The sequence below is a fragment of the Homo sapiens genome, chromosome 9 (genome assembly GCF_000001405.40).
Source record: "Homo sapiens chromosome 9, GRCh38.p14 Primary Assembly".
Classification (NCBI taxonomy): domain Eukaryota; kingdom Metazoa; phylum Chordata; class Mammalia; order Primates; family Hominidae; genus Homo; species Homo sapiens.
In genome coordinates this window covers 39630294-39653003 of record NC_000009.12, presented here as the reverse complement: position 1 = coordinate 39653003, position 22710 = coordinate 39630294, and the positions used below count along the sequence as shown (strand labels likewise).

The window sequence follows — 22710 nt, the reverse complement described above, 5'->3', positions numbered from 1 at the left end:
GGGGAATGTAAACTGGTTCAGCCACTGTGGAAAGCAATTGAAGATTTCTCAAAGAACTTAGAACTACCATTTAACCTACCAATCCCATTATTGGGCATATACCCAAGGGAAAATAAATCATTCTACCAAAAAGACACATACACTTGTATGTTCATAACAGCATTATTCGCAATAGCAAAGACATGGAATTAACCTGGGTGCTTATCAACAGTAGATTGAATTTTAAAAATGTAGTAGTAGTACATATACACCACAGAATACTACACAGCTATAGAAAAGAATGAAATCATGTCCTTTTCAGAAACATGGATGCAACTGGAGGCCATAACCCTAAGTAAATTGTTATAATATAGGAATGGAAAACCAAATACAGCTTGTTCTCACTTGTAAGTGGGAGCTAAACACTGAGTACACATTGACATAAATATGGTAACACTAGGCACTGTGAACTACTGGAAGGGGCAGGAGGGAGGGGAGATGGGTTGAAAAACTGCCTGTTAGGTAATATGCTCACTACCTGGGTGATGGAATCCATATCCTAAACATCAGCATTATTCCACATACCTGTGTAAAAACTTGCAGCTATGTCCCCTGAATATAAAATAAAATCAAAATTATTTTTTTAAAAAGAAATTGTTGTCATTACAGGAAGTGGTAGATATTTTGGGTTCTGCCTAGGCTGTTTCTGAATCAGAAGGGAGTCCATATGATTCTGTTTGACATAAGTATCCCTGCTCAAACCATTCTGGAAGGAATCAACTTTATACATGGAGACATCTGTCATCTCTCTGAGGTAGAGAAAGCCTTCCAGGATATAAATGTTACCTGTGGGTTCCATATTGTCTTTTATGTTATGTCAGGGTGGAAACAATTGAATCAAAAACTGCTTGAAGAAGTCAATGTGGGGGACACAGGCAATGTCCTCCAGGCTTGCAGGAGGATAGGAGTAATAAAATTAGTTTACACTAGTGCTTTTAATGCATATTTGGAGGTGAAATGGTCAGAAATGAAGATGAATCTGTCTTTCTTAGCTCTTCACCTCTAAAGCAATCACTACTCTCAGACAAAATTGACTATGGACAAAAAGATAGTGGAAGTAAATGGTGTTTTTCCTCCCCTACATCCCTAACATCCTGAATCCCTTCCCTTAAGTCTGTGACCACTGGGATACTTGGTCCCACTAAGATAGCTTTCCTCCACTATGATTCCTCATCTACATGTTCAGTGTCATCAGAAGAATGATGTCCTTTTCCAGATAGCTGAATTACACAGCATTTAAATTTATCTTATTTCATTTTTTATGAGAAGTTATAATATTGGAATAAAAAGCAGAAACAAGGAAAGAGATTTTCTGAAGTATACATTTTATATGAGCCAAGGAATTAGTACCTGGAAAACTAAACTGTAATATTTAAAATTAGTTTATATATGGAGATAATTATGTTTCTTGCTAAAATGCCTATCACCCTACTGATTCTCAATTTGAAATAAGCATTATAACTTTTACATGTCTGAATATGAAATTTTACAAATTGGACAGGAGAGGCCAGAGAATTAGCTTGCTCTTTTTCCACCATGTAGGAATAAAATAAGAAATCAGCAGTCTGCAATCAGCAGTTACTGGAACTCAACCATGCTGATGCCTTGATCTTGGACTTGCCAGCCACCAGAACTATAAGAAATAAATATTTCTTGTTTAAGCCACGCAGTTTATGATAATTTATTATATCAGCCTAAACTGATTAAGACAAAAATGCTAAGAAACAGAAGGACCACATAGTAAAATTCCATAAACTGTTCTGGAATTTTATGTCTACTACTAAGGTCTAGAATCCAGTAGGTCCTCATGGATTGAATATGGCACCAGCAAGGGGGATGTGGACATGAGCCAGATCCTAACACAAAGGATATTTGCCCTCAGACCTCCTTTATGGTTCCTTCCAGGAGTGTGCAGCCCAGAATAAAGGTTTGATGGAGTGACTGGTGCCACAGGTATGAGCAATCGGCTCATAATGGGGGCAACAGTTTGGAATCAGAGAATCATGATTATTCTTGTAAATGATACTTATGGACCAAAGAGGAACATTGGGCTCAGAACATAGCATTTTTTCCCCTAGGTCTGTCAGCCTATATATCTTTTACAGGCCAGGTATGTCAAAAGTCTACATTTGGGAGAGGTCTTAAAATCCATATAATATACATTTTGTACACAATTTCAGAATTTGTAACAGATTATACTCAAGATACTGCATTTTATCTAGTGTGTTTTTACATTATAATTTCACAGGGTAACAGCTTCTCATTTTCAATGCTAGGTTACTTTTATGTGATATTCATGTTTTGTACCAATCTGGTGTTCAGATTTTATATTGCTTGATATGATTTTTTAAGTGCATAATCACTTTCTTAAAGTTTCTGTTTAAAAACTTATGGGAAGCATGACATAATATAAATTATATTAGAGATGGAATACTTAATATCCCCTAAAATACCAAATAACTTAGACCAGTATCCCAGTATTTAAATATATAGTTGATAACTCAAAGTAATTTATCACTGTTTCTCTGTAATCATTTTGATGTCACAGGTTGTTTAAGGCTTAATGATGATTAAGAACATTTAGTGAATTTATGAACACTTTAATGAATTGATTTAACATTTCAGCTGTTTATGTGCAAGGACCCATAAAATTATCAATTTAAATGACTTGAGAATTAAAATATAATAGTTTATTCTTGGAGCATCACTTTTTCTCTCTCCAGTTATTGGTCAGGCTACCAAATGCTTTTTAAAAAATCTAGGTTTTAAATATTTTTATTTATTTATTTATTTTGAGATGGAGTTTCACTCTTGTCACCCAGGCTGGAGTGCAAAGGCATTGTCTCAGCTCACTGCAACCTGCACCTCCCGGGTTCAAATGATTCTCCTGTGTCAGCCTCCTGAGTAGCTGGGATTACAGGTACCCGCCACCATGCCCCACTAATTATTGTATTTTTAGTAGGGGAAGGGTTTCACCATGTTGGCCAGGCCGGTCTCAAACTCCTGACCTCAGGTGATCCGCCCCAGTTGGCCTCCCAAAGTGCTGGGATTACAGGCGTGAACCACCGTGCCAGCCTAGATATTTTTACATGAGATTGTGGATGATAATCTCATTTTGGGTAGATTTGTATTCTGGGTAGATTTTTATCAGGGATCCTGATTTAAAAAGAAAAAAATAAATTTTTTTTCTGGTTATGATTAGCATTTTTCATTAATTACCACCTATTTTAGTTAAGGTAGCTCCATTTAATTCATACAACATTTTATTTGTAGTGCATGGTGCAATTAAAACAATAGTTACAATGTCATGAAGGACCTGCGCCAAGAATCACATGACACCACATAGCCATCAGTACCTATGACAATGCTACTTTTAAATTCTCATTTTTTAATGAGAATATTGAGGCTCCAAGATGTTAAGTAACTTTCCCAAGAATACACAGCTAGTAGATTCAGATTTATAAGGCCACAAAGCCTGGGTTCTCAGTTACTACTCTGCTTACTGGAACTTGTGGGAGCAAATTCTGATCAATTTATAAGCTCTTCTTCCCCAAAAGATCTTAGCTTGGAGAAGAAGGAGACCTCTATACTGCAGAGCTAAAGTTTTGAGTAGGTTGTGCTTGACTTCTGAGGCATGTGACATGTGAATAAAACTGGTTTTATGAAGGTAAAATCATCAGCATTTCCATGGAGCATCTTGTGTTTCTCAGGGCATGGGAACCAACCATCTGCAGTAAAAAGTAAATTTTTAGCTCATAAGTCAATGGAATTGTTGTGGGTATGGATATCACCATATTATTTGGCAGGTGATTCTTATTGAAATATCATAAAGGGCAAGTATTGTGACAACTTTTCTCCATGATTAATAAAACAAACAGATAATCTTTATAATACTAATCATTGCTGTTTCTTTATAAAATGTTCTTGATTACTTAAAGTACTATTAAATTAAAAATCAGATTTTTGCAACATGTAGAAGGCTCTTTTAAAAAAACTGTAATATTATTCTATATTGTATTTCTCTAGGTATAATATCACATCACCATAATCTGCATGGTCTAATAAAATAGTAAACTGTTTCCCAATAAATAGCTTTCCCACAATATGGAAACATTGGCAATGTTTTGTTTTGTTTTTTTGTTTGTTTTGTTTTGAGATGGAGTCTCGCTCTGTCACCCAGACTGGAGTGCAGTGGCATGATCTCGGCTCACTACTACTTCCGCCTTCTGGGTTCAAGCGATTCTGCTGCCTCCACCTTCTGGGTTCAAGCGATTCTCCTGCCTCAGCCTCCTGATTAGCTGGGACTACAGGCATGTGCCACTACACCAGGCCAATTTTTTTGTATTTTTAGTAGAGATGAGGTTTCACCGTGTTAGCCAGGGTGATCTGGAACTCCTGACCTTGTGATCCGCCTGCCTCAGCCTCCCAAAGTGCTGGGATTACACGCATGAGCCACCACATCCAGCCGGCAATGTTTTTTAACATGTAGTTTAGTCTTCAGACCCTCTCAAATTACTTACTGAATTAAAGTATGCCTTTTATAAGAAACAACATTCAGTAATATAAAAATAAACTCTCATGTCTTCTTTACTTTCCATTTAATTTAAGGTACATTTTGGAGGACATTCTTGTGCTTACTTCATGTAACCTCACTTGCTTTTAGGTGAATTCAAAATTCTGATGTTAATCCCTTGTATTAGGGTTCTCTAGAGGAACAGAAGTAATAGGATATATGTATATACGAAAGGGAATTTATTAAGGAGTATTGACTCAGACGATCACAAGGTAAAATTCCAGGATAGGCTGTCTGCAAGTTGAGGAGCAAGCAAGCCAGTGGTGGTTCCGTCTGAGTCCCCAAACCTCAAAAGTAGGGAAGCTGACAGCGCAGCCTTCAGTCTGTGGCCAAAGGCTCAAGAGCCCCTGGAAAACCACTGGTGTAAGTCCAAGAGTCCAAAAGCTGAAGAACTTGGAGTCTGATGTTCGAGGGCAGGAAGCATCCAGCACAGGAGAAAGATGAAAGCTGGAAGACTCAGTAGTCTGCTCTTCCATCTTCTCCTGCCTCCTCGCTGGCAGCTGATTAGATGGTGCCCACCAGATTGAGGGTGGATCTGCCTCTCCCAGATCACTGACTCAAATGTTAATTTCCTTTGGCAACACCCTCACAGACACACCCAGGAACAATACTTTGCATCCTTCAATCTAATCAAGTTGACACTCAATATTAACCATCTTCTTACTGAGCAGTTAACTCATAATAACACTGCCAAAGAGACCTCTAACAGTTAACAGAAGCATTGTTTGTTGTCCTAAGTCTGTCATAATATTCTGTATAACCTTTGAAGAAACATTTAAATTTTCCTCTTTCAAGCAATGAAATGTGCATTCCTTAAATTGAAAGAACATGAGCCTCCTTGATGCGTTGCATGACATGGTGGGAAAGGTGAGCCCCTGAGTCAGAGGACTCATCCCGGATCCCATTCTCTCACAGGCTTGTGAAAGCAGAAGTCACCTTCCTTCTGACCTTGGCATGTATCCTGCTTCAAGAATGGAACTGGAGGCATATCTATTCTGATTACAAAGAAAATTTAAGTCATTCTCCTATAGAATTTTAATTTCAATCATTGTTTTAGGAATTTGCAAATATATGGCTTGCTTTGTCTTAACTAATAGAAAAAGTGTCCTTTTTCAAAAAGAGAAGTGTTAATGTAATGATAATAGTAATGACTTCACAGAGCGTGTGTTCTGTTCCAAGCACTTTAAGCATATTAACAATTTAATCCTCACAGTAATCCTTGGAGGATGATATCATCCTGATTTTGCAAGTGAGACAACTGAGGCACAGAAAGGCCAAGCCTTATACAGCAGAGCTGGTATTTGAACCCAGGATGTCTGGCTCTTAATGCTGTTAGTTTACATTCTTAACTGTGGGCCAGATGTGTGTAACTGACTATCAAACGTGGTTCTGACACAAAACTCTACATCTAAATTCCAATCTCCATTTTACATTTCTGCTAACCTGATGGGGGAAAAACTTTTATTTTAATATGACCAGGGATCCACATTTTGAAAAATATTGCCAGTGCAGTCCTGACAGCCACTTCTTCATTCTTAAGCACCTGGGAGGAAACTGTTCAGAAGTGGTGTGTTATGAAATGGTAAAATCAGCTCTGCCCTTGCTGATGAATCCAGAATAATTACCAATGACTAAGTCCAGCCTCATGACCACTTTCTTGAGTGACATTGAGTTTGCATCCTAATTTGAAGTTTACAATTCTGGCAAGATATTGGACAGCTGCATGGATAATTTTGTTCACAAATATAGATGCAAAACTCTATGCTGCGTTAAAGCTATTTTAAAGAGCATACTTTAGGACTAGTGTTTATTTCCTTGTGTCTAAATTTCCTGTTTTGCATTTGCTTCAGCTAAGATTGTTTTGGGCTAAACTTATCTTCCTACACAGACCCTTGGTATCATGTAAATCAAAATAATCATAGGCATATTTAATTATATGACATTTGTTGTCTCTACACTAAAGTTTTTCTAACATTCTTAAATTTTGTCTACATAATGAATATATTTTTAACAGAAAAATCTATAGGTTTGATTGCCTGCTTATTTAAATAAAAAGAGAAAGAAGAGGTAGAAGAACTATGAACTCTTTATTGGTTGCCAAGCAATAAAAATACTTTTTTGGGAAAAAACCAAACCCCATTGTTTCCTTGAATGTGCTTGTTCTTTCAGCTCAGTCCTAAGAGTGGATGATTACTGAGCACAGGGCCCTGAGATGAACTGAGGGACTCGCATCTCATTCAAGCCTCACAAAGCAGTGGAAGGATTAACGTTTTCTTCATTTTATAAAGAGCACACTGAGACTAAGAATGGTTGATTAGTTTGCCCAAGTTCTCAAGAGTAGTAAAATTTTGAGCCGTTAATTTAAAACAGACCATCTGGAGGTAGACTAGAGCTGAGAATGATCTCAATTAAAGGAAGGAATTCTGTCACTTTGTGAAGTTTTATGAAGAGATAAGATAGAAACCAACCTACTGAGTATTAAACAAAAGGCTATTTCCCGAAAACATCCTTCCACATTCATTCTTCAATCAGTAAAATTTTACTACCATTAAGGCAGAAAAAGGGTTAGACACAATTCCTTCCTTCAAGAAGTTTAGAGGTTAATGGGGACACTACAATATTCGTGACATAACTTAAAACTACATAAAAACAGTATAGAAAGGTAAAGATTTCTCTGTGAAAGAGGTATAAAAAAGAAAATATTTTCCTCATGGTAAGCTTGAAGTTTCTTCCTCCCTGGGAGGCTTAAAGGAGTCTTCGTGATGGAGATCTAGAATCCATCTTTAGTTGGTTAGTGTGTGCACATATGAGAGGGAAGGCCATGCTGGGCCTGATCCAAGAATGAGGCTGGAAATGGGTGTACTTTTAAGAAAATGAATAAATAAATAAATGATCTTGTTTGCCTAGGAGCCTGCAAGGGACTAATGGAAGCTGTGAATAGAAAGACCCTTTGGAACCAATTTGGAGATGTCCTTGAAAACGAGGGGAGTATAGAATTTTCTCCAAAAGAAGATAAGAAACCTTTAAAGGATCATATCTGCGGAGGGGCAAGATAGTAACAAAATCTTCGAGGAGGGAATAAGCCCTTACTTCACCGCTGTTCACCTTGTTTGAGGGCTTACCTTTCACAGCATGGGCCCCTGCTCCTGGCCCTCCCCATCGCCTAGGCAGAGTTTCACTCTTAGCCTCTGTCAAGTGTGATCACCAGCTGACTTATCTATCTCTTCTTTTTTTTTTTTTTTTTTTTTTTTTTTGAGACGGAGTCTCACTCTGTCACCCAGGCTGGAGTGCAGTGGCGCGATCTCGGCTCACTGCAAGCTCCATCTCCCAGGTTCATGCCATTCTCCTGCCTCAGCCTCCCGAGTAGCTGGGACTACAGGCGCCCACCACCATGCCCAGCTAATTTTTTGTATTTTTAGTAGAGACAGGGTTTCACCGTGTTAGCCAGGATGGTCTTGATCTCCTGACCTCATGATCCACCCACCTTGGCCTCCCAAAGTTCTGGGATTACAGGCGTGAGCCACCGTGCCTGGCCATCTATCTCTTCTTATCAGTGATTGGGCAGTCTTGATACTGAGCTTCCCAGCTGTGGACCCACAACTAAATTAATGTAAGACCCAAAGATCTGAAACGCCCTTTAAGATGCCACCCTTGAGAATAAAGAATGTTAGATACCAGCAGAGGTTTATGCAAGAAGAAGATGGAGTGGTGGAGAAAAACTGGGAGTAAGAAAATTAAAGGAAGAGAAAATAATAAAAAAGAACAGTGATCATTTGTATTAAATAATGAGAGTGAAAATAGGGCTAACAGTATTTTACAGGTGCAGTGGATCACAGGTTGTTGACATGTAACCAACAAGAATTGGACGATATGGCTGCAACCCTTTGTCTGCAAAAGCTCACATGTATTGGCTAGTAATGTTCAAGTAATTAAGAGGACATTAATCAGTTAAATATCTACCCACACATGTTTTCTCTAAAAAAATTCAAGTCTCCATTTTTTTTCTGTCTAATACTTCTGACTTCAAGGATAGAGTCAAGAGAACTGGGACCAGGAATTGCAACTATTGCAATGAGGCAAATCCCCACAATGTCCCAGGTCAGAGAGTCAAGAGAGAGGCAGCTAAACAATGGGACTGTACCCACCTATGACATGACCTTTTAAAACAGCTCTTTTTTTGTGCTTCTTTAGATGGATAGAAGTGAACTTATATCTATGCTTTGATTTTTGCAAAATTCTTAGTCTGTAAAAGATATAGTTGTGACTAGGAGACTAACTCTCATTTGCCTCAGTCCTAAATTCAGTGTGTTCAGTATAACATTGAGAAAATAAAAATCATAATAATGATTTCAAAAGTGACATATTAACTCCATATTTTTGAAAGAAAGTGTGGTCAGGCTCTGTGCTAAAAGAAATTCTACCTACTGATGTTGCAAAAGCATGTCATAAGATGATCTTTATAATGAAAACTAGATTTCTGTGAATGTGCAATGACTTTTGGGTCCTTTTCTTTCCATATTCAAATCTTATTTCACTTCTGTGAGATTTCCCCTTATTTATGGGTTTCTTTAATCATATGCATATATTTTTTATGTTGAAATCTAGTAAAGGTATAAGCTTTTGTTTCATTTTTAGTATGGACCTAAGAAGCTCTTCCATCATAATCTATGGCTTTCATTATTGATTCTGTTTATAGACAGGATATAAATATAATATGAAAATCAAAAACAAGTTTTAAACAAAAATTGTTTTTAAAATTAGATTTTTCTCTTCAACTTAAATATTTTACCCTTCCAAAGGGCGAGGGAAGGAGGAAAGATGAAATTAGCAGAATTAATGTAGAAATAAAATGTTTGGAGCAGAGCTTGGGCTTTTTCCCATAGAGTGAATACTAAATTTTATCAGTATAATGATCCATCACAGTTTAAAGAAGCAACACATTTTCCAATTACAATGATAACTTTTAACATATCCAACATTTTAACATCTCTGTATCTTCTAATACATTAGATTTGAAAAATTCTGTAGTGATTGCTTGTCTCAGCATTTTGCAAACATCATCCTTGCTGTACCAAAACAGAGTTCGCCAATTTTGGAAAGATGTGTGAGTGGCTGAACCTCTTCTGGGACTGGACAACGGACAGCAACTACTATACGTGCAAGTAGTTGTTCTCTGGTGAGCTGAAACAGTTACTCACATCACTTCCCATGCTCTGAGGTTCAGATGAGGAGCCCTGGTAGAGAAAGGCAGCTCTAGATCTTTGTAAGAAGGTAATAAGACACCAAACTGTGCCCTTCAATGGAAAGTATTAATATAATACATCTCTCCAAGGAAGGGCTGACAATGGGAGTTGAAAGCCACCAGACAGCAAGTGCAGGGTGCAAACTCTGTGGCTCTCAAAATGAGTGGGAAGGTAGTTACACAAAGTTGGTGCCCCCATACTTGTCTGGAGGCCTAGCTGAGGAACCAATCCTAGCATGCTCCTCCCATCATCATGGCCACTCTAGGAACCAGCCCTAGCCACAGCCCTACTAGGCAAGAGTTGTCATGCTTCTTTTACAAACTTCGAGTAGATTTAAAGTTTTCCTTTTGTCTTCTTCACCAGAGAAAGAAAAAGTTTACTTTTGGACAGGTTGCATTAAAGCACTTTAGATATTCTCTTTTCTCTGGTGGAAGCCCGTATCTTAGGAGACATGGGGAGCCTGCTGCTGGCTCACCTGTCACAGAACTGGATCGTGAAGATTTCATCTGGTTTTTCCCAGGTGGGCATTTTAAATTTCTGCTTCAAAGTCTGTCTTTGTACTTTTAATAAATAAGACATTTGTACTGATGGAATCTGCAAGACAGGCTTGAAGGAAAAAATAAGTGTCTCAAAGTGAAAGTCTGTTTCTTTTTACGTGAACAGTCATGTAAAAAATGTATTAAAAATAGCCTTTTTGACTTGGAGATCTATTATGTTCAGTAGCTAAACTATAACACAGAAGACCACATGGAGCACATACATGAAATATTGTTGAGGTGGCCATTTGGAGTCCTGGGTTCTAGTAAGGACTCCACTTCAATTGGCCGCATGATCCAAGGACGGGCATATCACTTCTCCAGGACTTAGGGTCTTCATCTCTAAAGTGAAGGCTGAACATAACAGGTACCCTTAAAGCTGCAAAGCATCACACAACATTTCACACCTGTTTACCCTCTCATTCTCTTAGATAACACTTTTTCTCTCTTTTCTCTTTCCTCGAAATGCCAGTGTCTCTTCTCCCAGTCTCATTCTTAGCTCCCTACTTCACCAGAAAACTGAAGCAATCAAAAAAGAATGTCCATGAGCTTCCAACATCACATTGGCTTATGGCTGTGATCTGAATGTGCCTCCTCCATAATTCAGGTATTGAAACTTAATGGCCAATGTGACAGTATTAAAAGATGGGCCTTTAAGGCCATGCGGGCTCCTCCCTCATCAAGGGGATAAAGGTCTTTCTAACAGAGGCTTCACACAGCGTCTGGCCCTCTTGCCGTGCTACCTTCTGCCAGGTGAGAATGCAGCGAAAAGGACCGCACCAGATGCCAAAAGGACCTCACTGTCTCCTTGATCCTGAATTTGTCAGCCTCTAGAACTGTGAGAAAATAAACTTCTTTTCTTTTCTTTTTTTTTTTTTTTTGAGACAGAGTTTCACTCTTGTTGCTCAGGCTGGAATGCAATGACATAATCTCGGCTCACTGTAACCTCCACCTCCCAAGTTCAAGGGATTCTCCTGCTTCAGCCTCCCAAGTAGTGGGCATTACAGGTGTGCGCCACCTCGCCTAGCTAATTTTGTATTTTTAGTAGAGACAGGGTTTCACCATGTTGGTTAGGCTGGTCTCAAACTCCTGACCTCAAGTGATCCACGGCCTTGGCCTCCCAATGTGCTGGGATTACAGGCATGAGTCACTGCACCCAGCCAATTTCTTTTTTTACACATTACTCAGGCTGTGGTATTCTGTTATAATAGCACGAATAGACTGAGACCAAAATTGATACCAGGAGAATGGAGTGTTGCTACAACAAATACCTGAAAATGTAGAAGCAGCTTTGGAACTGAGTAATGGGTAGAGGCTGGAACCGTTTTAAAGGGAATGCTGAAAAAGCCTGTATGGCCCAACATGGCACATTAAGGGTGATTCTGGTGAGGGCTCAGAACAAAAGGAGAGCTGTAGGGAAAGCCTGAACCTTCTTAGTTCATCTTAGACAAGTTCTTATATTATCTCAGTGGTTGTGACCAGAATACTGGTAGAAATATGGACAGTGAGGGCCTTTATTATGGTATCTTAAAGAGAAATCAGAAACACCTTACTGGAAACTGGAAGAAAGGCCATCATGGTTACAAAGTAGCCAAGAAGTTGGCTGAATTATGTTCCTGCCTCAGTATTTTGTGGGAGGTAGAACTTAAGAGTGATGAACTAGGATACTTGATGAAAGAAATCTCTAAGCAGCAAAATGTTGAAGGAATTGCACGGCTTCTCTTAACTGCTCATAGCAAAATGCAAAAAGAGAGAAATGACTTAAAGATGGAATTTATAATCAAAAGGGAAGCTCTCACATGTAAAGAATGTAAAGATTTGAAAAATTCTCAGCCTGGCCATGTAAATAATAAAAAAGCATGTTTAGTAGAGAAAACCAAGGGTGTGCCCAATTGACAGTCTGATAAGCAGATTAGTGTGAATAGCAGGAAGCCAGGAACAATTTATCAAGATAATGGGAAAATGACCGCGAAGACATTTCAGAGATCTTTGAGGCCGCCACATTCTTCACAGGCAGAGTGCTAGGGCCTTGGGGGCAGAACAGGTTTGAGGGAGGGGCCCAGGGTGCCCATGGGAACTTGAGGCTTACCATCCAGGGCCGCCTCAAATCTCTGCTCCCTGCATTCTGGCACAGTGCTCCTTGGCTGTCCCAGCTATGGCTCAAGCAGGCCCAGGTGTGGCTCAAGTCACTGCTTCAGGAGGTACAGGCCATAGCACTTGGCAGCATCCATGTAGTGCGAACTCTGCAAGTGCACAGAGTTCAGGAGCTTTGAAGGCTTAGCTTCCTCCCCTAGGTTTCAGAGAATGCCTCAGAGTGTCTCCACCAGAGGTATGCACAGTGGAGCTGTGTGAGTGGGGCCACCTCAGAGAGTACTCACTAACACAAAATCTAGTGGAACTATGGGGGTAGGGCCATGCTGGAGACCTCCACATTTTAGAGTCACCAGCATGCAATGCCAGCGTGAAAGAGCTGCAGGCAGGAGACTCCAACCCATGAGGGCTGTGGTGTGGGCTGTGCCCAGCAAAGCTATGGGGTTGTGGCCTTTGGAGCCTTGGGGATCCAACCCCTGCCCCAGTCTGCCTTGAAGGTAAAACATGAGTCAAATAAAATTATTCTCAAGCCTTAAGATCTAATGTTGTTTGCCCTTTTGGGTTTTGGATTTACTCAGAACTTGTTACCCCTTTCTTTTAGCCAATTTCTGCCTTTCAGGATGGGAATGTCTATCCCACACCTATACCACCATTGTGTTTTTGGAAGCTAATAACTTATTCGACTTTGCAGCCTCATTGCTGGAGGGAAATTTGCTTCAGGATGAATTGTTCCTTGAGTCTCACTCATACCTGATTTACATAAACCTCTGGACTTTAGACTTTTGAGTTGTTGTTGGAATGAATGAAAACTTTTGGGGCTATTGGGATGGAATTAATAATGTATTTTGCACATGAGAAGGATATGAATTTTGAGTGGCCAGAGAAGAATGCTATGATTTGAATGTATTTCTGCCAAAATTAATATGTTGAAACTTAATGAAGAATGTGATCATATTGAGAGGTGAGGCCTTTAAGAGGAATTAGGCCATGAGGATTCCTCCTCCATGAATAGGATTAAGGACTGTCTTAGTCCATTTTATGCTGTTACACAGAATACCACAGACTGGGTAATTTATAATAAACAGAAATTTATTGGCTCACTATTCTGGAGCTGGAAAGTCCAAGATCAAGGGGCTGACTCCTGCCTAGGGCCTTCATGTGTGTCCTTTCATCGTGAAGGGCATAAAAAAGGGGTGAGAGAGAAAAAAGCAGGCCAAATAGGTCCTTTTATAGGGAGCCCATTCCCACAATAGCAGCATTAATCCATTTATGAAGGCAGAGCCCTCATAGTGTAATCACCTCTTAATACTATTTTAATGATAATTAAGTTTCTAACACATAATTTTTGGGAGGACACATTCAAACTGCAGCAAAGCCCTTAAAAAAGAGGCTAAATGCAGCATTTGGCTCTCTTGCCCTTCTGCCTTCTGTCATGTGCACAGGCAGCAAGAAGGGCCTCACCAGATATCAAATTCTGGCATCTTGATTTCGGGCTTCACAGCTTTTATACCTGTGAAAAAATTAATCACGCAATCTGTGGTCATCTGTCACAGCAGCACAAAATGAACAAAGACACTTACCCACCAGTACCTACACCCACAGAGTCTGCCTTCTCACCTTTTAACTTAGACTAACTACCCTTACTCATATACGAAGCTCATACTTCACCTATTCAAAAATAGAAGTCGCAAGATTAGCTCACCTCTGGCCTTTGGATTTTTCCTTGGAAAATTCTATTAACATCCAGTCATGCTATATTCCCTATCCTTAAGGGCATGACAACAATAGAACACAAACAAAAAGAAACTTTTCTTGGCTTTACTTTCTCTGCCAGCTCCTGTCCCATTTCTATTCTCTTTTGCAACACAATTCCTTGAAGGAGTTATCCACACTCTTTTAAAATATTTTTCTCTGTTATTCTTGTAAACACAGTCCAATCAGATTTTTCAGCACTTCCCCTACACTGCTCTTGTCAAAGTGTCCAACAAATCTCACATTGCTAAAATCAGTGGTCAACTCTCAATTCTCACATTACTCACACTATCTGCAGCATCTGATATAATTGATTACGACTCCTCCTTGTTAATTTTTTTTCTTGTTTCAGTCAGTCTTTTGGCATTAGTTCCATCCATATGCCACTGACTTCCAAATGTGGCTCTCTAGCCAACACCTCTCTCCCAAACTGCAAACTAAAATTCCAAAAGGCTTATTTGACTCTTTTTAGATGTCTTAGAGATAGCTCAAACTTACCAATGTTCAAACCTGAACTCCTGATCTTTGCATTCAAAACTTTGTTTACCTGTAAACTTCCTAATCTCATCTGGTGGAAACTCCATTCTCACACTTGCTTACACCAAATATTTAAGAGTCAGGCTCATTTGATGGTCTCTTATGAGCTCACACTTGCAGTTTCACTCCTATGGAGCTCAGCCAGGGCTAGAACTTCCATTATGGTTTAAATCATATGGCTGGTAGTTGTGCTGACTATTGGCTGACTCTGGGGCTCTGTTCTCCTCCGTCAGTCTAGCTTAGCTTTCTATCAGCATGGCAGCTGCATTCCAAGACATAAAAAATGGAAGGTGTGGGGATTCTTGAAGTTTTGTCTTTGGAGTTGCACATTGTCATTTCTACCACATGATATTGGTTAAAGCAACTCATAAGATTAGTCCAGATTTAAGGGGAGGTAAGACAGATTCTATGTCTTGATGGAAAAGTGGAAAAGTCATATTGCAAAAGGTCATGTAAGATAGAATGGAGTGTTGCAGTCATCTTTGGAAACAATCGACCGTATAGGACATCTTCAAATTACAAAATAAGCTACTTGCCCTAGAATGTGCCCTCTTTCCCCTTCTGTTACAAGCACATGACCCAGCTGTTATTAGGCAGATATGGACCATACCCTGGGGCATGGAACAGCAAAAAGTTGAAAGAAACCTGTACTCGGATAATCATGCAAAGCTGAGTTGCTCATCCCATGACTGTTAGGTAAAGACAAAAAACTTTCTTCCATCTCCCTTTCTACCCGTTCCCTTTCACCCTCACCCCTTGTATCTTTGATGTTCCCTAAACTGGCCAGGCCTTCTCCAGCCTTAGTCCTTTTAATTGTTCTGTCCACCTGAAACATTCTTTCCACAAATATCTACAGAGCTTGCTTCTTCACTTCATGCAAGGGTTTATTTAAATATCACCCACTTAATAAAGTATTTTTGACCACACTTTTTAAAATAAAAATCCATGACTAATGAAGACTGACACACATTTAGTCCTTTGAACAATACCTAGATAAAAATGTCTGTGGAGTGAAAAGAATAAATGCTGACTTTGCTGTTTACTGGTTTTCTTCAGGAAAGTCTCATTATTTCTCAGACTACTTCATCAGAAAATGGAGATAACAATGGCTTTCTGGCCGGGCGCGGTGGCTCACGCCTGTAATCCCAGCACTTTGGGAGGCCGAGGCGGGCGGATCACGAGGTCAGGAGATCGAGACCATCCCGGCTAAAACGGTGAAACCCCGTCTCTACTAAAAATACAAAAAATTAGCCGGGCGTAGTGGCGCGCGCCTGTAGTCCCAGCTACTTGGGAGGCTGAGGCAGGAGAATGGCGTGAACCCGGGAGGCGGAGCTTGCAGTGAGCCGAGATCCCGCCACTGCACTCCAGCCTGGGCGACAGAGCGAGACTCCGTCTCAAAAAAAAAAAAAAAAAAATGGCTTTCTTTTACGGTCATTGTGAAACTTAGATGGCCCCGTGTTTGAGAAGTCCTCCTTATGAGGTCGCCCTCATGATTGCTCTTCACTTGAGTTCAGGCTCCCGCTCTTTGTCACTCCCCTTTGTGGAGACAGACAGACTTTCTGGAGCTGACTAACCTTGACTAACCTCTCACTACCCAACCCACATCTGGCTACAGGGGAAAGAACACTGTCACAGGAACTAGGCTGGTTGTACCATCCCCACAAGAGTGTATTCAGATTCTTCTTGAGAAGAGTCTAGAATTGCACCAGAACTCTGATCCCCAGCCCAAAAGCTTGCATCAATGTGGTATTTTTATAAACATGTACATAGTGAAATGACTACCATAATCAAGCTAATTAGCATATCCATCACCTCACATATTTACCTTCCTTTTTTATTGTATGAGAACTCTTAGGATCTATTCTCTTAGCAAATTCCAAGTATACAATACAGTATTATTAACAATAGTCACCATGCTATACATTAGATCTCCAGGACTTATTTCTCTTGCATAACTGAAATTGGACCCTTTACTCAACATCTCCCAATTTCCCCTACCCCCAACCCCTGGCAAACATTATTCTACGCTCTGCTACCTGGATATTTTGTCTCTCTATGTACATTTTAGATTGCATAAAATAATTTGCTGTTGTAATGAATGGCATTGCACTGGATCCACAAATCAAGTTAGAAAGACATCTTGACAACATTGAGTCTCTCTATCCATGTATATGGAATAGCTCTCCATGTATTTAGTTCTTTGATTTCTTTCCTCAGCTTTATAGCTTTCCTCATATAGATCTTATACAAATTTGGTAGATGTATACCTATGTTTTTAATTTCTAGGGGTGCTAATGTAAATGATATTCTGTTTTTAATTTCAAATTCCACTTGTTTATTGCTGATGTATAGGAAAGTGATTGATTTTTTGATATTAGCTGTGCTCTTATTTTTATTTCCCTCATTTTCCTTGTTTTGAATTTACTTTGTTCTTCTTTCTTATTTCTTGAGTAGGAACTTAGAGTATTGACTTGAGGACACAAATGATGCTGAATAGCCAAAACAATATTTAGCAAAAAGAACGAAGCTGGAGGCATTATACTCCCTGATTTCAGAACATGTTATAAAGTGATATTAATTAAAACCACATAGGTACTCCTATAAAAACAGACACATTGACCAATGGAACAGGATAGAAAGCCCAGAAATAAACCCAGCCATTTGATTTTTGACAAAGGTTCCTAGAACACACAGTGGGGAAAGCACAGCCTTCTCAATAAATGCTGTGGGAAAAACTGAGTATCCGCATGTAGAAGAATGAAATGAGATCCTTATATCATACCATATACAAAAATTAACTCTAAATTGATGAAAGACTTAAATATAAGACTTGAAACTGGAAAACTATTACATGAAAACAGAGAAAATGCTCCAAGATATGGGTTTGATCAGCAATTTTTTGGATATAACCCTGAAAGCATAGGGAACAAAAGCAAAAATAAACAAATGGGATGACATCAAGATTAACTAACTTAATTATATTATTTGATGAATAGAAGTCATTAATTTATAGAAGTTCAATTTAATAAACTTTAAAAATATTTGGTGTCTTTTTGGTCCTGTTTAAGAAATCTTTGCCTATCTCAAGGTCATGGAAGATATTTTGTACTTTTTTGTTATAGAATTTGTATTGTTTTTACTGTCCAAGCTTCCACATTGTGGCCTATGATCCATCCTGAATAAATGTTGCTAAAAATTAAACTTTGACTTAGCTTACTATAAATGATATTTATATTTATGTATTACATAATTTATTTACATATTCTCATATGTATTACATATGAGAATTATTTTACTATAAACACTATAATTAAGGCAGAATAGATATTTTAGATACATATTCCTGAAGATGCCACTTCCATTCAACGGACAAAAAGATAGTCTTTTCCATAAAATTTACTAGGTCAGTTAGATATCTGTAGGTGTGGTGGGTAATTTTGTCTTTAAACTTGGCTGGGCCACAGTGCCCAGATATTTGGTCAAACATTATTCTGAATGTTTCTGTCAAGATTTTTTCGTTTGGATAAGAACAATACATAAATCAGTGGACTTAGGGTTTGCACATTACCCTCCATAGTGTGGAAGGGCCTTCTCCAATCAGTTGAAAGACTTAATAGAGCAAAGACTGGCCGGGCACGGTGGCTCACGCCTGTAATCCCAGCACTTTGGGAGGCTGAGGTGGGCAGATCAAGAGGCCAGGAGATAGAGACCATCCTGGCTAACACGGTGAAACCCCATCTCTACTAAAAATACAAAAAATTAGCCGGGCGTGGTGGCAGGCGCCTGTTGTCCCAGCTACTCAGGAGGCTGAGGCAGAAGAATGGTGTGAACCTGGGAGGTGGAGCTTGCAGTGAGCTGAGATGCCACTGCACTCCAGCCTGGGCGACAGAGCAAGACCCTGTCTCAAAAAATAATAATAATAATAATAGAGCAAAGACTGACACTTCCTGAGCAAGGAGGAATTCTGCTAGTAGACTGCCTTTGGAGTCAAACTGCAACTCTTCCCTGGGTCTCGAGCCTGCTGGCCTAACCTGTAGATTTTGGATTAACCAAGCCCTTACAATTGTGTAAGCCAATTTTAAAAAATAAATCTCTTGATATAGATAGGTAGATAGATACATAGACGGACAGATAGACATTCTGCTGTTCTGCTGGTTCTCTTTTCCTGGAGAACCCTGACTAATACAATGGGGAAAAACATGTATCTTGACCTGCACTTCACCATGCACAAAAATTAATTTAAAATGAATCATAGTATCCTGCTCATTTTTAATTCTTCAGATAAAAATTTACCTACTATATCTTTAGAATAAACTTTTAATTAAAGTTAATTAAAATTAACTTTTAATTTTATTTTTATGTTTTTTTCTCTCCCTTGTGAAACAGTAGTATACTTGAAAACAGGAGAATTTTTTTTTATGTTACCAACGCAGTGCCTGGTAACAAATTTTTAGAGGCTACTATGTGTCAGGCTCTGTGATAAGCATTTTAAGCACTTTACTTCCATAAGTCCTCGGAATAATCATACCCTCTTATATAAGTATTATTATGACCACCAAATCACAGATAAGAAAACAAGCATTAGAGAGAAATTAAGTCCAACTGATTCTAAATGCAGGAAGCTTGTACACTAGGTCTCCCTACATGGCTCCTCAATAAATAAATTAATTAAGAAATAAGAAGGGGCTGAGCACAGTGGCTCAAGCCTGTAATCCCAGCACTTTGGGAGGCCTAGGCAGGCAGATCACGAGGTCAGGAGATCGAGACCATCCTGACTAACATGGTGAAACCCCGTGTCTACTAAAAACACAAAAAAATTAGCCGGGCGTGGTGGCGGGTGCCTGTAGTCCCAGCTACTCGGGAGGCTGAGGCAGGAGAATGGCATGAACCCGGGAGGCGGAGCTTGCAGTGAGCCGAGATCTTGCCACTGCACTCCAGGCTGGGCGATAGAGCAAGACTCCGTCTCAAAAAAAAAAAAAAAAAGAAAGAAGATGGGCTTAAAGTTTCATAAAATAGGCCGGGCGCGGTGGCTCACGCCTGTAATCCCAGCACTTTGGGAGGCCGAGGTGGGTGGATCATGAGGTCAGGAGATCGAGACCATCCTGGCTAACAAGGTGAAACCCCGTCTCTACTAAAAATACAAAAAAATTAGCCGGGCGCGGTGGCGGGCGCCTGTAGTCCCAGCTACTGGGGAGGCTGAGGCAGGAGAATGGCGTGAACCCGGGAAGCGGAGCTTGCAGTGAGCCGAGATTGCGCCACTGCAGTCCGCAGTCCGGCCTGGGCAACAGAGCGAGACTCCGTCTCAAAAAAAAAAAAAAAAAAAACAACTCCTAGGGGAAATAAGAGGGATGCTGGGAGGGCTTTTTATTTGAGTGCCACTGTGGTCTTACTGATTTGAGTGCCCACTTGTTTCGGAATTTAGGGTGTGGGAGTGACCAAGGAGCACAGTGACTAGAGGGAACTAGAAACAAAATAGACATTGTTCACTTTGGTTGCTAAATTTAATATGTCCCTATTGCACTTTTTGTTTTGGGAAATTTTTCCAACATTAAGAAAAGCCCTTTTAAAGAAGAGTGTTAAAACATTGGTTACATGAGAACCAAGGAGGATTCACCTTACAAGGTGAAATTATGTGTTTTATTCAATTTTCACACTACTATAAAGAAATACCTGAGACTGTGTAATTTATAAATGAAAGAGGAGTTTTTTGTTTTGTTTTGTTTTCACTCAAAATTCTTCAGTTTTTACAAAACTAACAGGGTGGAGTGGGGAGGCTGGGGGGCAGGCAGCCTCAGGAGTAGGGCTGGTGAGAGGCGCTATGCTTCTGTCTCCACCTGAGACTGGCTCCCGCCGTGTTGCTCTTGCACTCCGCCTTCATCTCTGTGTCAGTGGGATGGTCTCCTGAGCAAGCCTCTGCCTTGGCCTTGTTCTCCTCCTCAGCCAGCCTCTCAAACATTTTGGCATAGAACTTCTCCCGGGCAAGCTGCCTGTGGATCCGCTGCTGACCCACAGCCAGCTGGGCCCTGGCGGCTTTGTCGTTGGGGTAGAGCTGCAGGACCTTCTGGAAGTCAGCCCATGCCAGTTCAAAGTCATTCACCGCCAGGTGGGCCTCTCCCCGGCGGAAGGGGCCCTTCTCGTTGTTGCTGCCCAGTTCTAGGGCATTGTTACAACTTTCAATGGCAGCAGAGAAGGCCTGTAGTTTCAGCTGACACATGGCCAGGTCGAGGTGAGAGGCCAGTCGAAGGGCCTGTGCCTTCTGTGCTTCCTCATTGGAAAAACTAGACTCATATTCCAGCCAGGACACAATCTTCTTACACTGTAGTAAAGCTTGCTTGTATTTGCCTTCCTTGAAGTACACACTGCCCTGCTCTTTCACTATGGTGTTCTGTTCCAGCTTCTCTTCTGAAATCATCTCCCAAGATTCCTTGGCCTTTTCAAAACTCTTGAGATGTAATTCATATTTCAGCTCGGCATTTGGTGGGATTTGGAACTTTTCCTTCCCAACACTGCCAAAAGCATAGCTGGGCTTGAGGTACACAGTGGAATGTTCTCCTTTCTCCAAGTGCTGAATGGCCCTCTCCAGATCATAAGGCAGATCCAGGTTCTCCCCCTCGCTAACCTCAAAGCGGAGCGCCCGTTGGTCAAAGGGCTGGTCCTTGCAGCACCCTTCCAGCGCAACCTCCACCATAGCGCCCTCATCGGGCTTGACATAGCCTTCACCGCGAGTCCCTATTCTGCGGATGATTCCCCCATCTTCCTCTTCCGTCAGATCTTCTTCCTTAAACAATTCCACCTCAAACACAAGCGTGGCGTTATGGGGGGATCGTTGGAGGACTGTCTGCTGAACTCTAGGCATATCCTGGTTTGCAGGTGATGTGGCCCACCTCCCCCACCTTCATGGTTGCTACGGCAATGTTCCAAGCCTTGATGACCTCCCCTTTTCCCAGGTCAAAGGAGAATTTGTCCTTGCGATCCACGCTGGAGTCAAACTTTGTGCCCTCTAACAGCCAGCCAGTGTAGTGGACAAAGACTAGGTCCCCAGTCATGGGCATCTCTGTACCTGTGCCCTCTCTCTTGATGACCTTCAGCACTCCTTCATCCTGTTTGGGGCTGACGTCCACTTCCTTCTTGGGCAGCGGCGCCGGCTGCGCCGCACTCTCGGTCGCCTTCATCTCCTTGGCTGTCATCTCTGCGTGGCGCGAAATTTTTCCGGGAGATGGCGCAGGCGCGAGTGCACTCTGGGCCGCAGGCGGGGGCGCTACCTGCAGGGCATGCGGCAGGCCGGACACTAGGGCGCTGACTGCTGACCGCGCGGAGGCTGGAGCACCTCTCAGGAAACAGGTTTAATTGACACAGTTCCACGTGGCTGGGGAGGGCTCAGGAAACTTACAATCATGGCGGAAGGCAAAGGAGAAGCAAGTATCTTCTTCACAAGGCAGCAGGAAAAAGAAAACAGGCGAAACTTCCTCTTACAAAAAAACCATCAGATCTCATGAGAACTCACTCACCAGCACCAGCACAGCATCGGGGAAACTGTCCCTGTGATCCGACCACCCCCCACCAGGTCCCTCCTCGGACGTGTGGGGATTACAATTCGAGATGAGATTTGGATGGGGACAGAGAGCCAAACCATATCAGTATGTCTATTCAGAAAAATGTTTATACATATATATATATATATATTTTTTTTTTTTTTTTTTTTTTTTTTTCAGAGTGTTACTCTGTCACCCAGGCTGGAGTGCAGTAGCGCGATCTTGGCTCACTGCAACCTCTGTCTCCCGGGTTCAAGCGATTCTCCTGCCTCAGCCTCCCGAGTGGCTGGGATTACAGGCGCCCACCACCACGCCCAGCTACATATACATATATGTATTTTTAGCAGAGACCGGGTTTCACCATGTTGGCCAGGCTGGTCTTGAACTCCTAACCTCAGGTGATCCGC

The 22710-nt window shown here is 40.8% G+C and overlaps 2 pseudogenes; one reads left to right on the top strand and one right to left on the bottom strand.

The window, feature by feature from the left end:
* Nucleotides 527–1279, top strand: SDR42E1P1 (short chain dehydrogenase/reductase family 42E, member 1 pseudogene 1; annotated as a pseudogene).
* On the bottom strand, nt 20494–22102 carry FKBP4P2 (FKBP prolyl isomerase 4 pseudogene 2; annotated as a pseudogene).